This window comes from Homo sapiens, chromosome 5 (genome assembly GCF_000001405.40).
Source record: "Homo sapiens chromosome 5, GRCh38.p14 Primary Assembly".
In the NCBI taxonomy this organism is placed as follows: domain Eukaryota; kingdom Metazoa; phylum Chordata; class Mammalia; order Primates; family Hominidae; genus Homo; species Homo sapiens.
This window is the reverse complement of record NC_000005.10, coordinates 168,812,248-168,828,780: the sequence shown is the minus strand read 5'-3', so window position 1 is coordinate 168,828,780 and position 16,533 is coordinate 168,812,248. Positions and strand designations below refer to the sequence as shown.

Sequence of the window (16,533 nt, the reverse complement as noted above, 5' to 3'; positions counted from 1 at the left end):
TGAGACCCACCCCAGGGTTCCTGATTCAGTAGGGGCTTGAGCATATGCATTTCTAACATGTTACCAGGTGATAGGCCTAGTCTAGAGACCACATTTTTTTTTCTTTTTTCTTTTTTTTTTTTGAGTCAGGATCTCACTCTGTCACCCAGGCTGAGTGCAATGGCATGATCCTGGCTCACTGCAACCTTGACTTACCAGGCTCAAGTGATCCTCCCACCTCAGCCCCTCAAGTAGCTGGGACTGCCGTTGCTCACCACCATACCCAGCTAATTTTTATTTTTTTAATGTATTTATTTTATTTTTCATTTTTTTGGTAGAGACAGGTTCTCCCTATGTTGCCCAGGCTGGTCTCAAACTCCTAGGCTCAAGCAGTCCTCCCGCTGTGGCCTCACAATGTACTGGGATTATAGGCATGAGCCACTGCACCCAGTCTGGGGACCACATTTTGAGAACCACTGCCCAAGTTCCTTCCATGCACAACCCAAGGTGGATTCACCTGTCGTCTCTCTTGAGCAGGGCCTTCCCCTAGGTTCCGATTCCATCACGGCATTGCAGGTTCCAGAAAGAGCGGGACTGATCTTCCAAGGTAGGAGTGAGACTACCTGCTTTTGAATCCCAATGCTACTACTTGCCAGTTGGGATTTCTGAAAATGTTTTTTGTGGTTTTTAAGTTTTGAATGCCTCTGACCTAAACCCCTCTTCTTTCCGAGCAGTTATGTGCCTTGCCTAGCATATCACATTTAATCACTGACAAAGGCAGAGACAGGATGGTTCAGTTCTACAGCAGCCAAGGGCCAACAAAATTTCTATAAAAATCCAGATAGAAAATATTTTAGCTTTGCAAGCCATATGGCCTGTGTGTCAACTACCCAGCTATTGTAATGCAAAAGCAGATCGACAATACAAAAGTGAATGCGTAAAACCAGTTTTACAAAAACAGGCTGCATTGGATGGGATTAGGCTTGTGGGCAGTTGTTTGCCAACCCCTGGAGCTGTCCATTATGTGAATCTTCATGTATTCATCCCGCCTGGGGAGCCCTTGTCCTGCCTCAGTACCCTGGCATTGAGCTAATAGGCCCCCAAAGATGTCCATGACCTCATCCCAGAAACCTATGAATGTTGTCTTACATGGCAAAAGGGACCTGGCACATGGGACAACATTAAGGATCCTGAGATGGAGGAGTTATCCTGGATTGTTCAGATAAGCTCTAAGGGTAATCACGAGGGGCCTTGTAAGAGGAAGGTCCCAGGAAGTGGAGATCACAGTGAGTGTCAGGAGATGTGACAACAGAAGCAAGAGGCTTCAATGGCTGTTTGGAGCTGTGTTCAAATATATTTTTTAAAAAATCGTTGAGTAACAAAAAGAAGAGGTTGAAGTGACGCAATGAAGCAGCCATGAGCCGAGGGGCATGGGTGGTCTCTACAAGCTGCAAAAGGCAAGGCAGCAAATTCTCCCCTGAAAGAAACGCACCCCAGAAACCCATTTTAGACTTCTGACTGCAAAACTGTAAGAGAATAAATGTGTGGTGCCTTGAGCCACCAAATCCATGGTAATCTGTTACAGCAGCCATAGGAAACTAACATGGGCCTCATTCCTGGACTCAGTCTTGCTTGGACTCAAATCTTGGCACTACCACATGCTTCAATCATGAAATGGAGGTGATATTAAAAGTCCCTGCCTCGTGGGATAATTGGAGGAATTAAATGAAACGATACAGGCTGGGCATGGTGGCTCACACCTGTAATCCCAGCACTTTGGGAGGCCTAGGCAGGCGGATCACCTGAGGTCAGGAGTTGAAGACCAGCCTGGCCAACATGGCAAAACCCTGTCTCTACTAAAAAACACAAAAATTAGCCAGACGTGGTGGTGGGCACCTGTAATCCCAGCTACTCAGAAGGCTAAGGCAGGGAGAATTGCTGGAACCCAGGAGGCAGAAGTTGCAGTGAGCCGAGATCACACCACTACCCTTCAGCCTGGGCGACACAGCGAGACTCTGTCTCAGAAAAAGAAAAGAAACGGTACAATGCAGTACCCTTAGCTCAGAGCCCGTCTGGCATATAATAAGCTCTCAGTTAATGTTAGCAGTTATCAGTAACATCTCATCTAATTGCCACTAAAGCTCTATGAGCCCAGTGCTATTATTATCTCCATGTTACAAAGGAGGAAACGTAATGAGATTAAGAAATTTACCCATGGTTGCATAGGCTGTAAGTGGCAGAGCCAGTCTAAACTAGTCTCTGCCTTCGAGGTCCATGCTCACCACCTCTCCTTGGCATTGGGGTTGTAACAACAATTCCTTCATTGAATGCCAGCTACTTAGGCAGCGGCACAAGAAGCAAATAGAATGCAGTACTCTGTGTGTGGGCAAAAGCTGCCAAGACTGGAAATCAAATAAATCTGTGTTTATTAGGGAAACGAAAACTGTAGCTGTCGTAGCAATCAGCGTCTGAGAGGTTACCAACCCTCTGACATCCCCGGGCTGGCCAGCCCCAAGCAGCAAATCATGAAAGTCTGAATACTGTGTTTAGTCATTTTGGTTCTGGAATAATTGCTATTATCGTAAATGTTTTATAGCACTCATTACGACTCACATTTAAATATCAGTGTAGTAATACATTAATAAGTCATCGCTGCTGGACTACTGCCGGATGCAGTTATAGTTGAGGCCCTGCTTATAATTGTACTGTATATTCAGCTAAATTAGAGCCAGGCTGTGAACTCCACCTGATGTTGAATGACTGGGTGTGCTTGGAAAGAAGCCCCTTCTCTGCAAAGGGTTCTTGCTCTTTGAAAGATAGGGAGGATGCTCAGATTTTTTTGTCTGGTGGTCAGTCAACAACCTTAACTTGGTTTCCCCTAAGTGTGGAGCCCAGAACTCTGAAATGGACAGAAGGTGAAATGGAGGGATCATTTCTGCCCTGGAGGCATTTCTAATCCAATGAAGAAGGGGAGAGAAGCATAGCCCTCACCCCCAGGAAGCTCCCTGCCAAGGCAGAGTGCCTGGTCTGATAGCAGTGACAAATTCTTCAGTGTTGTTTGATGAGATCTTCTGGAAGCTTTCTGGATGGACAGAGGCAGGATAGATTATCCCCCACTGAGCATCTCCCCACATACACACACACAGAAAAGAAGCCATATGAAACAAAACCGCTAAGTGGGCTCAACTTCATAAAATGCCAAATACCTGCATTGGCGAGTTAGTGAAGTCATAAAGTAGGCAGGAGCAGGCAATGTAAATTTTGTCTGTTCGTTCTTCTTTACCATCCCATATGCCTAACAGTGTCAGACACATGGTAGGTGCACAGTAAATATGGGAGGGAGGGAGGGAGAAAGAAGAATTAGGTTCTGTGCCTTTCACCACGCAGATGATAAGTAGATGTGGGGGATTACACGGATAGTCTGGGCCAAGGGAGGTGAGGCCACTGGAATCCTGCTTTGGACTGGGCTCACAAGGGGCTGGAGAAGGAATTGTTACAGGTCCCCTTGGGTAGGATGGAGAATATGGGGGGCACTGTATGCTGAGTAAACCTCTATTTCCATGGGGGTTGGAGTAGAGGGGAATATAATAGGCCAGGCCAGGACTAGATTCTCTCCATGAATGTCAGTAACATAGTGGCCTCCACTTACTGAGCACATACCCCATGCTAAGCCTTTTACCAGCCTGTGAGGTAGGTACCATTACCTGTTTCCTCCCACAAATAAAGAACCTGCAGATAAGAGATATTGATAACTTGCCCAAGGCCACACAATTCGGAAGTAGTAGGATTTGATTTCAACCATGTACAGAGCAGGACATGAGGCTATGGTAATGCACAGGACAGAAAATGGTCCTGCCTTTGCAGACGTATGATGTAGAGGGCATTTGAAGCGGAAGATAATGTGTTTACGAAAAGCCAAGGGCAAAAGACATCTGGCTTAACCCATGAAGGCTTCCAAAGAAAGGGTCCTTCCTGGGCCAGTAGGGACCCATGGAGGCTCAGGAGAGGGTAAGAGGAATTGGATTGTTGAGTAAGGGATGTCTGATGTGGTTCTGGGAGGAGCGGAGAATAGAAGGGCACAGGAACAAGTGGCCACCATGAGGAATTGTACCAAGGGCTGTATCCAACTCTTCCTCTTTGGGAGGTATAGTGAGGCAGGTGTGGGGTCAGGGAGCTGAGAGCTATGCCTGACTTCCCCACATATTATGTCTCTCCACCTGGGTAGTCACTGAAGTAACTGATGCAAAAGGCCCTCCTGCTACGTGATGTTTCTGCCTCTGCAGATGGCCTTCCTTAGGTGCCATGCTTTCCCTAGGCTTCCATAATAGGTTTCTCCAGAAGGGTAAGCCCGGGTACTTGCCTATAGCCTGGCTTCATTCTTCAACAGCCTCATTTCAGTCTGGTTCATTTATGGAGCTCACACCTTTCTCTTTGCTTTTCCCTGCACAAAAGTACCTGTCAGAGCTAACAGGCACCGTAGGAGCTCCGTTCATGGTCGTAGAGATGCACCGGAAAGAAGAGATGCGCAGAGCTCACAGACTTGTTTGAGATTAGATGTGCTGAAGGCTGACACAGTGGCTCACACCTGTAATCCCAGCACTTTGGGAGGCCAAGGCGGGGTGGATCATGTGAGGTCAAGGAGTTTGAGCCCAGCCTGGCCCACATGGTGAAATCCTGTCTCTACTAAAAATACAAAAATTAGTCAGGCGCCTGTAATTCCAGCTACTTGAGAGGTGGAGGCAGGAGAATCGCTTGAACTCGGGAGGCGGAGGTTGCAGTGAGCTGAGATCGTGCCACTGCACTCCAGCCTGGGTGACAAGAGCGAAACCCCGTCTCAAAATAAAAAGATTAGATGTGCTGAAAGAGTCAGAAGATGCCTAGAAAATACAGAATCACCTATCCCCACAGCATCCTGTGCGAGGCAACACATGCAATGGGAGTATCAAGGAGAATGCAGCAAGGTAGTGCTGGACTCAGATCCCACCTCCAGAGCTTTGCAGTGATTGTTCTTGGAAAACTTATTTTGCCTCCCTGTGGCTCAGCCTCCTCATCCATAATATGAGGATAACACATTTGTAGATTTGTGTGTTATTAAGCATATCTGTTTCCTTCTCCATAAACCGAGGACAGGAATAGGTAACTGGCATTGTAGATGTAAGAATTAGAGATGTTATAATGAAGCACTCAGTGCATAGGAGGGTTTCAGGAAGCGATACTCTTACTCAAGGTGGGTAGGCAAGTCCTGAGAGGACAGTAGAGGGAAGGAGGGCTCCACCTGAATAAAAAAGTCAGGGCATGCTCTTCTCGTCTGGAGACCTGTCCACTTGTCTTCAGCTGCTCCACTGGCTGGGCCATGACTGTTGACTCATGGTCTTGCGGTCACAACCATCCCTCCCCCGACCTACTACAAGCATCTTGGTGCCTCCCCTGCTGCTGCCTGGCTGACCATCTCCCTTGTCTATCTCCACAGTACCCTCAACAACAACAACATCAGTCGCATCCTGGTCACCAGCTTCAACCACATGCCGAAGATCCGAACTCTGTGAGTAAGAAGTCTGTGCATCTCTCCCATTTTCTCCCTACCTCACGCCCAAAGTGCAGCACTCTACGCTGCTTGTCAAACCTACCATGCTATGACTAGGCAGATGGTTCCGACATTCAAATTCCTCCTTCTGCTATTAACCAAGGGGTGCCTTGGCGAGTGAGGGTAGATGTAGAGTCAGGTCATGGTGCCACCAACCATGGTTCTGAACCACCGTTCTGCGTCAGACAGACTCATTTCTCTTACCCTAGAACTGTGGGAATTCTTCCTGTGTTGTGTGCATGTTTTCCGTCCTGATAGAAGAGATTAGTTTTACATTGTCACAAAGCATATAGAACTCTGACTGAATGATTCACCATTTGCTTAGCTAATGTCACGTAACATCAGCAGTTCTGTCAGATTGCCAGTGGTTGCAATGGTTTTCCCCTGAGGAATGACAGTACAGGAGAGTCACTCCTTCTCTCCACCCAGCCAGCCCCCACCCAGCACATTTCCCTGCTCACCTGCTCCCTGGATGATATTCTGACATTAGAATGCCGTCTTTCTCATACTTGGTTCTTTACCTTTGATGTCTTAGGTGGGCTTAAGTTTTCCAGGGTGCATACTCAGGAAACAAATCTCCTCATCGTGACCAATACCGAGAGCAGTTCTAGTGCTCTTATTACCTGGGGAGTTCCCCTCTGCTCCCAGTCAGGAACCTCTTTGTAAGTTTCTCTGTAAGTGGACTCTATCAGCCTTTCCAGAGAGGTTCAGACTTGATACTTGGCTTGTGTTGGTGGAGCTTCGGTGGTATTTGCCTCACACTGGTCAGGGAGAGCCAGCTCCCAAGGGTGTCAGCCAAAAACATTTAGGGCCAAGGCCAAGGGCTAGAATTCCTGCAGTCCCCTTTATTAGCTCTGTTTCCTCTGTTCCCTCCTCTATAAATAGGAATGGTGGTGAGGATCAGATGAAATTAGATATTTAAAGTGCCTGGCAAGCAGTAGACAATAAATGATATTGATTGTTACATTATTATCACACGATCAGAAATCTGGACTGAAAGTTCCAAGCAGCCATCTGATCTGTGCTGCCTGTACAATCCATGAGATTTGGAAATCCTTAGAGCAGAGCTTCCACAGTGGGGTCCCTAGACCAGCAGCATCAATATCACCCAGAACTTGTTAGAAAAGCAAGATTTCAGGCCCCATACCAGACATACCAGATCAGAATCTCTTGGGGTGGCACCCAGCAATCTGTTTTTCATAAGCCCTCCAGGAGATTTTAATGCTCATAAAGTTTGAGAACCACTGCATTCATGAGAAAGCAACTTTATCTTCAGGCAAAGATAAAACAAAGACCAAAGAAGCAATTTATATAAAGAGGTAATACAGAGAACCCTAAGAAGGACACAGAGTTTGCAGTTAGGCCTGAGTTTAAATGGGAGCTCTGCCACTTAATTTGAGCAAGTTTCTTCATTTCTCTGTGCTTCAAGGAAAGTGAGTTCATGAATGCTTGCCTCAAAGTTGCTGTGAGAATGAAGTGCAGTTTAACACATAAAGTGCCTGGTACATGGTGTGCACACAACAAATACTCGTTATTATAAAGAATAATAATCTGAGCCCTGCTTCCATCTTTGCTTCCCAAATTCTTTCCTGGATCCCTCATTGAAAAGCATAACTCAGCCAAGAAAATCTGTTCCTTTCCCTCCCTCTTAAAATAGGGTAGTGCAGTAATGGAATTTTAAGAAGCCATTTGGTCTTCAAAGACCTCTTCAAAGTTCCCAGCAAACCACAGATGAGCTGGGGAAAAGTGGGACCCAGGGCTTCTGGGCAAGAAGCCAAGAGTGCACCTCAGGGTGCTGGGCCTGCATTACCCCAGACATGTGGGTTGCATCGAAGAAAAATGACTCTCACCTGCAGGAATCAGCCGTCCAGCTCCTGTGAGCTGTTCCTGTGATTTATCCTTCCCTTCTTTGTTATTTTCAGTTTAGAAGCAGCAATAACAGAAGCTGGGCTCATTCCCTGGGAGTTGTAGGGACAGGGTTAGGCCTGGATCTGGGGTACTTTGTTTGGGCTGCAGTAGGGCGGGGGAAGAGAACAGGAGGGTTTTTTTCTACTGGTTTCTGTTGTCATTCTTCTCTGCCATCCCGAACATTCATCTGATGAGTTCAGATCAATCAATCAATCTCGTCTGTTCTCTTTGCTCCCTGCCTGCTGCCATTTTCTCTTTAGTTTAATTTCAGAGATGGCTCTGTACAGAACTCCCTGGAGACTTGAGCTGACTAATCCCCCTTCACTGTAATTAAAGTGTGTATGGGGTTGGGGGGGACGGCTGGTGGTGGTGGAGAAGCGGGGAAGAGGAGAGAGGAAGGAAGCCATAAATGGGATTTCTAAAGGAAAGCTTTTATATTGAATTTAGAAAGCCACATTTTATAGAAAATGAACACTGACCCTCTCTAAAAGGATTTGCTGGAAATTTAATTTAGCGTCTGTGGCTAAAAGGCACCTTTTATAAATTGGCATTTGTATTCATTCACCTTATGTTCTGTAGAGGTGGTTTCATCAACATGGAATATGATGTGTCCATCAGCAAAAGATTGCAGAACAACATGCAGGACCCACCTAGCCACCTCGGTGCTACAGTATCTAAATGAGAAACTGCAGCCTTGTCCAGGCAGGGCCATGGGCTGGGAAGAGAGTGAAGTCTGGAGCTAGTCTCCTGTCAGTCGTAATTAACAGTGAACATTTCTTCAGTGGTTTGCTGCGTGCCAGGCCTTGTACTAAGCACTTCCCATGAATCATTTCAATTCTCACAGCAGCCCTAGGAAGGAGGCATCACTAATATCCCCATTTGACAGATGATAACACTGAGGCCCAGAGTTAAATTGCCACCCGAAGTCAAAGTCAGAAAGCACGGAGCCAGTGTCAGACTCAGGCAGTTTGCCATCACAGCCTGAGCTCAGGCCATTCATCAGGAACAAAAGCAGAAGAGCAGGTGCCAGGTGAACAGAAGAAGGGGGATAAGAGCCTCTGCACAGCCCAGGAGCCTATGGAGGCCACCCTCCCTTGTGTCGTTGCTGTCACACCTCACCAAAACTATTGAAAGTAATTAAAATAATGTCCCTTCTCACTCAAGAGGATTAGCGCTACCCCTGACAGTGCCTAAGCTCTAATTTCATGCCATTATGATTATTTTTCTTTTACTATTTGACATGGTATTGCTTAGCTTGATCTCCCAAACATGTTGTGAAAGGCAAGAATCTACCCAGCTTGACTCTTTTAGCATTTCTGGTGGATACAATTCCAAGAAGAGGGAGTGGAGTCTGTTCACCACCCTGGACTCCACTGCCCTGGGCTTTTGACGAGAGCCCTCTGATGGCTCCAAATCAGTCTGGGTCACCTCTTTCCTCTGGTGCTCTTGGGAGGAGAAAAATTTCTATTAAGACGGACAAAGGGATAGGAACTATCTGTATCAAGATTAAGAAGAGAGATAGCTTGGGGCCAGCCAGCCAGGATTGAGACAGGATCAACCTAATAGAATCTTCCAAAAGGGAAACCTCTGACATTTTTATTATCCCAGAAATTAATCAGCTCAGTAAGGATCTGACTTACCTAAACGTCATTTTTGTTGTTCCATTGATCTCTTACCCTTGATCGGAACCGACGGGAATTTGTTTGCATTGATCTGTGATCCGCCACATGCACACATGCTCCTTGGCTCATAGAGAATCCCTGTTGCCTCAGCTTCCGCGCCTCACTGCACAAGAGGGCAACCACCTTTCCAAATAAAAGCCAAACGCTCATTAAAAGGTTCTGCTTCTCCCGGCACACAAAAGAACGGCACCTCAGCCTGCGCATGCCACGGCAGGCTGCCCTGTGGTCTGCTTTGTCCCAGACAGACCTACTGTTGCCGTGTTCCTTGGGCAACATTTATACCCGGCGAAAAGTCAGCTGAAAGTCCACTGCCAAGCCTCCTCTCTGTTTTTGGCATAAAGTGGTTAATGCTTAATGAATAAACAGAGGTTTTGCTTTCCCTCCTAGAACTGAGGTCCTTCCCACCAGCTTAGGATTCTGGTTCGCCAACCCCTTCCTGCCTGTCTCACTTCTTTCCAGAGTCCAGGCGAAGAGCAAGCAGTGCTTGCTTCAGCTCAAGAACTCTAAGCTTTCAAACTCAAAGGGGAGAACTGCGTGGGACCCATTGTACTCACTGTATCTTGGGCCCAGGAGCCTGTGAAAGTGTGTGCAACCCACTGGGAAATGCAAAAAGGAAATTACATCCAGATTAATTATTTTTGAAACAAAATCATAAAAGTCTTTTTCAAAATTGTTAGCAGAAAAAATTACATTTTATATGGGATATAGGTTCATTTAATCTATCTGATATGATGGGATCTGGAGCCCCCTGCGGCGGCCAAGGCCCCAGTGGCCCAGGCCTATGGGAGGCTTTTGCCCACACAGTGGCAGGAAGGCCCTGCTGGCATCCAGCAGGAGGTAGCTGCACTTGGCCAGTGTTTGGCAATGTTGACCTTACACTAAGTGGAGCTTGGTCAAGAGCCCTTCAGCTCTCTCTATTCCAGGCGTGGAGGGGGCTTGAGCCTCTCCACAGGGCTGACACTCAGTAATAACTGGCTTGACACAGACTACTTGAAAGTCTTTATATACTGCTAGCTGATTAGCATGTCCAGGATTTAGGCATTTAAAATGTGCATCCGAAATGCAAGTACATGACAAGCTGACGTGATGAAAACTTACCCACTACCAACTTCTAGTGACCTAGGGTTGTAGGGAACGTGGAAATGGGAAACCCCTGATAGAGAGACCTTGGGGGAAGAACCTGGAATATCCGTAGTTTGCCTTAGAAGCCCCTGGATATCCTTAGTTTGCCTCCCTGGTAGTGGAAAGGAAGTTCAAGTCACTTAACTTGATGGGATTCCCCTCAGAAGTGAAACACACAGATCCCTCCAGGGATTCTTATCTACTCAGGGGCAAGAAATTCATCCGGAACCACAACTACCAGAGGGGGAAAGCCAAAGCGTCCTAGAACTGGTTAGAAAATATTTTCAGCCATACCTGAATCAGTCAGAATAGCAAATACACCAGACAGAATTGAACACAGGAAGGAAAGCAAGGGCACTGTGGAGAGATGGCTATGGATTGCAAGAGTCTGGTACAGACAACACCTTATTTAAGTGGGAGGGTGGAAAGAAGGTACATCCTCTAAAAATTTCCCTTCTGTCTGCAGCCTGCTCACTCCAGCTAGTGCACACAAAGTGGTATTGGTTTTAAGCCCACAAGCATTACATGCAGTGGGTTTATTAAAGGACACTTAGCGGGGGAACGAAGAACAACTCAGGGAAAGGCAACAGCGTCTCTCAGCTGCATGTCGCTGGAGATGGGGGCATTGAGATTGAGAAGCATGTTTCAAGCAACCTGTAACTCATGCTGGCTAAAGTGCTGAAATTTACAAATAAATAGCCCTTTTGTAAGTTTGACTCCAATCAGGATGTCACTGTAATAATGTCACTCCCCTTTTCTCATGTGCTGAGGCTTGCTTGAGTGAAAAGAAAAGAGGGTGGACTTGCTATTAAAAAATGAGCTTTGCTCAGAACCCCGGAGGCATCCTTTGGATGTGACCTGGCAATGAAAGGGTTGGGGCTCCCATGTTTTTGGTAGTGCAGAGGGAATTGCTTCCCTGGGCTCCTAGGGATTTTCACACTGGAGAAAGGGGCAACAGGGGTTTTGGTCACTCTGTCTGGCCAGTGACAGCCTCCACACTTCACCTGTGACCATGCCTTCTCTCTGTCCCGCCCTCTCCCAGGCGCCTCCACTCCAACCACCTGTACTGCGACTGCCACCTGGCCTGGCTCTCGGATTGGCTGCGACAGCGACGGACAGTTGGCCAGTTCACACTCTGCATGGCTCCTGTGCATTTGAGGGGCTTCAACGTGGCGGATGTGCAGAAGAAGGAGTACGTGTGCCCAGGTGAGGATGCTTTACCTGCTCTCCCCTCCTGTGCTATGACCCACCCACCCATGAGCTCCCACAACATCACCCTGACCTTGAACACATACCCTAGCCCAGAGCTTGGTGTGGAAGGAACCCCATAGGTCGTCCTCAGTACTCAGTAGTCACTTAAAGAACTGTGACGTGCCTCAAAGGGTTTTAAAACAGAAACTCTTGTCATCTGGTAAAGGGAAATGCTAAAAGAATTCATGAACTACTTTTTCAGCCCCTAGTCCATTGATACTAGAAACCGAACATTTGTTGAGCCACACATAAAATGGAAACAGGTATAACGGAGGTGTTCTAGCATCTGCTAAACATGTTCCTGTCGTCCCATTGCTCATAGAAATTGGAAGACAAGATAATGTAGGCTCTGGAGTCAGCTGCTTGGCTGGAAATCTCAGCTCTGTCCCTTAGTGGTGTGTGACTTTGGCAAGTTACTGCTCATCCGCAATATGGAAATAATAATAGTTCATAACTCAAAGAACAGGTGGGAGGATTAAGTGAAATAATGCATATAAAGCACTTAGCATAATACACAGCCCTTGGTAAAAGCTAAATCAGTGGAGCTTAATTATTATAGTTTAGTGGGCTCACAAAATGTGCTGAGCAAACATAAGAGTTTGATCTGTGGGTAATCGAAATGTAACAGAAGCACAGATTGCCTATGTGGCACAGAAAACAGAATGATGCAGACACATAACTGAAGGCAGCTCAGATCTCTGGGGATGGGAGGTGGCTGAGTAACCCAGGAAAATCTTTCCAGGGGATGTAGCTTTAAAACAGAGTCCTGGCTGGGCACAGTGGCTCATACCTGTAATCCCAGCATTTTGGGAGGCCAAAGCAGGTGGATCACCTGAGGTCAGGAGTTCAAGACCAGCTTGACCAACATGGTGAAACCCCGTCTCTACTAAAAATACAAAAATTAGCTGGACGTGGTGGCGGGCACCTGTAATCCCTGCTACTCAGGAGGCTGAGGCAGGAGAATCGCTTGAACCTGGGAGGTGGAGACTGTAGTGAGCCAAGATCGCACCACTGTACTCCATCCTGGGCCACGACAGTGAAATGTCTCAAAAATTAAAAAAATAAATAAAAGAACCAGGGTCCCAAATTTTAGTTGTTTGCTTTTACTTTGCATTGGCACCTTCCATTCTCACCAACTCTTCCTTTTTCTGTGGTAAATAAGTAGAGCTAATTCCTTGACTTCCTAAAAAAACAAACAAACAAAAAAAACAGAAAGCATTCAGTTGAGAAATTTCCCAAAGAGGTATTTTGATTTCCAGGAAGCCAGTCCCAGAATTGGGGCCCAGTGGCCTCTAAAGGCTGAGTCTGGGGAGTTGGCATGCAAGAGGAAACAAGGACCCCAGGGAGCTTAAGCACTGTGAGCTCTGCATTTCTCTCACCTTTCTAACTGGTGCCCACCTTTAGTACTAAAGGGTTTACCGGGCCCAGCATGGGCTGCTGGACTCCAGTATGGCCAGAAGCGCAAACTCTCTGGCCTCTTCTGCTCTTAGATCACACTTGCGATATACAAGAATTTTCCTTGAATTCAACTTCATCTCATTCTCTGCCGCTTCCTCCTGTCATGTTGTTATTTTACCATGTTATTTATTATCTGAAAATATTTTAACATGTCTCAAGCAGTACCTCAATAACTTCCTATAGACACCCACTTAGAAATCACTTCCCATCAAACACATATAATAAAACCATTTATCACGCAGGCACCAACTTCAAATATAGTGACTATAATTACAGTAATTATTCGGCAAAGGGTACAATATCGGCATAAGTGAAAGAAATAATTATAGAGTACGAGAGTCATCCAAGAGGTAGTGAGAAAAACTAATTAGAATGATAAAACACATCATTACAGGTGAGTGCCAGGTTTAATGTAGTGTATGACCTCACACACCACTTCATCAGAGAGCACCTTCCTGTCAAAGGTGCAGCAAGACATTGCTCACCCAGCAGCAGTCAGGATCCAAAACCAGGGGAGAAAGGCTGACCCTCCAAAGTCCATTAAATCTGAATGCCTCACTCTTTCTCCTTTGGAAAGGCTAGGTCCAGCGGACAGGTTCGTAGTTACGTGGGAGCACCTTTATCAACTTCTGTTTATAGCAGTTAATCCCATTGCTTGTGATGGTCCCTGGAGCTTCTTAGTATGAAGCCAGGTGTCTTTTGAGAACATGAGAATTTAGTCCAAAGGCTCCAGACATGACTATGCTGTTAACCTCCACCCTCTCGCCTGTAGTATGAATTAAGGGCAGGGACATATTGAGACCCCTATGCATGAGGGATTCTTTAAGTGCCTTAGCAGACTCCCATGGGTTACCACCTAGAATGCTGTGAGCCGTTACTCTCTGAAAAGGTCAAGGTCAGATATAAAGATCTGGGGGCCCTGGTGCAGTGAACATCCATGAAGATTGAACTCCTACCATCATGAGTCAGGTGCATGTGGAACATGCCCTCCAAAGACTTCTGCTATTACGTGGGTGCAAAAATAATTGTGGTTTCTGCCATTACTTTCAATTGCAAAAACTGCGAATACTTTTGTACCTTTTGCACCAACCTAATGCGTTTTCAAAAATTGTTAAATACACTTTGTGAGACAATGACAAAACCTTGAGAGGAAGCAATGTGGAGGAAGGTTCAGTCTGTGAGTGTGCAGTTGAAACATGAGTGGTCAGTCTTTGAGGCCCTAGAGAAGGAGGTTAAGGAGAAGAGCTATTTTCAAGGACTGACCACACTCCACACGCCACCACCAACAACCAGTCCTGCCCCAATGCCTGAGCCCCACAAGGCATCTGAAGGATACTGTTTTGTATGGACCTGTCTATGGTGGGGTGTTTGTTTGTTTGTTTGTTTGTTTGTTTGTTTGCTTGAGACAGTTTCATTCTTGTTACCCAGGCTGGAGTGCAATGGCAGTATTTTGGCTCACTGCAACTTCTGCCTCACGGGTTCAAGCAATTCTCCTGCCTCAGCCTCCTGAGTAGCTGGATTACAGGCACCTACCACCCTGCCTAGCTAATTTTTTGTATTTTTAGTAGCGATGGGGTTTCACCATGTTGGCCAGGCTGGTCTCAAACCCCTGACCTCAGGTGATCCACCCGCCTCGGCCTCCCAAAGCCCTGGGATTCTAGGCATGAGCCACCGCACCCGGCCCTGTGGTGGTTTTTAACTGCAAAAACCCCAAATGCCCCTCATTCAAGCTATTCACCTGTTAAACCACAAGAGGAGAAATTCAGTCAAGAACTGAAGACAAGAACTTCTCTTACAAAATAGAGGTCATCCACTCAGGAGGAAAAGAGGCATTGGGGTAGCAATTAAGCCATCCCTGGGCATAGCTTCATCACCAGCAGTCCCCATCCAGGCAGCATAAGAAAAGCTCCCTGAGCCTTTAAATGGTATCAAAAATTTCACCAAACACATGGCTCCAGAGACAGGAAAGAGCTTTATCTCGCTCAGCCTGTGAGGGCTCTGCCTGCCCAAGTGCCTGATATCTCCCTTTGAATTAAATCCAGCTGTCTGGAGCCCAGCTTCTTCTCCCCAGAAGCCCTGGATATGGGCTCCTTATCACTCCAGCTAACCCAGAAATTTGCTAGCAGTGCACTTTGGCAAAATTCATCTCCTCTGTCAACTGTACCTTTCCAGTTGAAGGCATTTATTTTCTTCCCCTGGGTATTGGGAATTTTTCACAAGGGTGGGGAAATAGAGCTTTATCTTTTTATTAACTTTTTTCCCTATGTTATACAACTTGACTACTTGGCCCCCTTCAGCTTCTGCTGAAAGGATTTCTGTGAACTTTTCTTGTTTCAAGAGGAAGGTTAAGGCCCTACGGCTGGAAGTGTCTGGTTGCTTGTGGCCTGAACCCGACCAGAACTTTATCAAAGTTCATGATCATAGACCAGAGAAGAAGTTCATGTTACATGAGTTGCAAGTTGTTGGTTTTTTTTTTTTTTTTTCATCCTTATCTAAAGGGTTTATTTGGGGGTTTAAATTTTAGGATTTACCTTCCACTTGTTAATTTTCTGGTACCTTAATCTGGAAGGGTTTCTACCAGTCGCAATTTGTAATTCAAGGTTATTAGTTGACCTCCTAAATCAGTTATCTCTTTGCTTTGAATGTCTTTGAACCCATTGGTTTGTCCATCTGTTTCACACTTACCTGCCCTTGGCCTTAAATGTGAGATATCCTTTCCTACAGACATTAGTCTTGTCTTCTAGTAATGAGGGGCCACGTCGTACACTTTTTCAGGTGCCCCAAATGCCTAGAACAAAGCTTGAACCTAATAGCCTCTCAATAAGCACTTCATTTATTATTAAAAATGAAATATGCTTATCTCTCTAGAAACAAGAAACTTTCCCTTTTCATCGTCTTTTTTTTTTTTAATTTGGGACTAGTTACTAAGTACAAAGATAATTAAGGTAAGCCATGACCAGCCACCCATCTCCTTAGGAGGTTTTAATTAAAACACCATAATTGGACATTGCAGGAATGAGATTATTAGCTTTATTTAGCCATTCCCAAAATTATCATGCCTCTGGTATTTAAATCACATTCATTTATATTCTCATCATAATTGCTCGAGTCCCATTGTCATCGCAGTCTGTTGTTGGCTTTTGAAAGGCCAGAGGCCAGTAAGGATGCTTAATTTGAATACTGGAATTAATTTATTTCCACATGCTCACAAGGCCATTGGAGCTTTTGACTCTGCACTTTTACCAAGTGAGGTTTTTTTGTTGTTGTTCAGACTTTCAAAATATTCTGTAAATTTTTTTATTTTGTTTTGAATTGACACACAATAATTGAACATACTGATAGTGTACAGTGTGATGTTTCAATATATGTATATATTATGTAAAAATCAAATCAGAGGATTTAGCATGTCTGTCACCTCATACATTTGTGTTGGGAACATTCAAAATGCTCTCTTCTAGTTATTTTGAAATATGCAACACAATATTGTTAACTGTAGTCACCCTACTGGGCACTAGAACACCACAACTCACTCCTCTCTAACCATAACTT

The 16,533-nt window shown here is 45.7% G+C and overlaps 1 protein-coding gene across 3 annotated transcripts in view, besides 1 other annotated feature; it reads left to right on the top strand.

The window, feature by feature from the left end:
* The window catches only part of SLIT3 (slit guidance ligand 3), a 639,400-nt gene that overhangs the window by 472,359 nt on the left and 150,508 nt on the right, over nt 1-16,533 (top strand). For all 3 annotated transcript variants that reach the window (NM_003062.4, NM_001271946.2, XM_017009779.1), the window contains exons 7-8: nt 5,450-5,521; nt 11,318-11,481. In NM_003062.4, the coding sequence (NP_003053.2) occupies nt 5,450-5,521; nt 11,318-11,481 (236 nt within the window). The remainder of the gene's footprint in view (nt 1-5,449; nt 5,522-11,317; nt 11,482-16,533) is intronic.
* Nucleotides 5,030-6,229: an enhancer, noted in NCBI's record as "BRD4-independent group 4 enhancer chr5:168249557-168250756 (GRCh37/hg19 assembly coordinates)". NCBI's record gives its function as "activates an origin of replication core promoter dependent on BRD2, P300/CBP, MED14 and CDK7 cofactors, and independent of BRD4, by STARR-seq in HCT116 cells {active_cell/tissue: HCT116}" and the evidence as "EXISTENCE:reporter gene assay evidence [ECO:0000049][PMID:35650434]".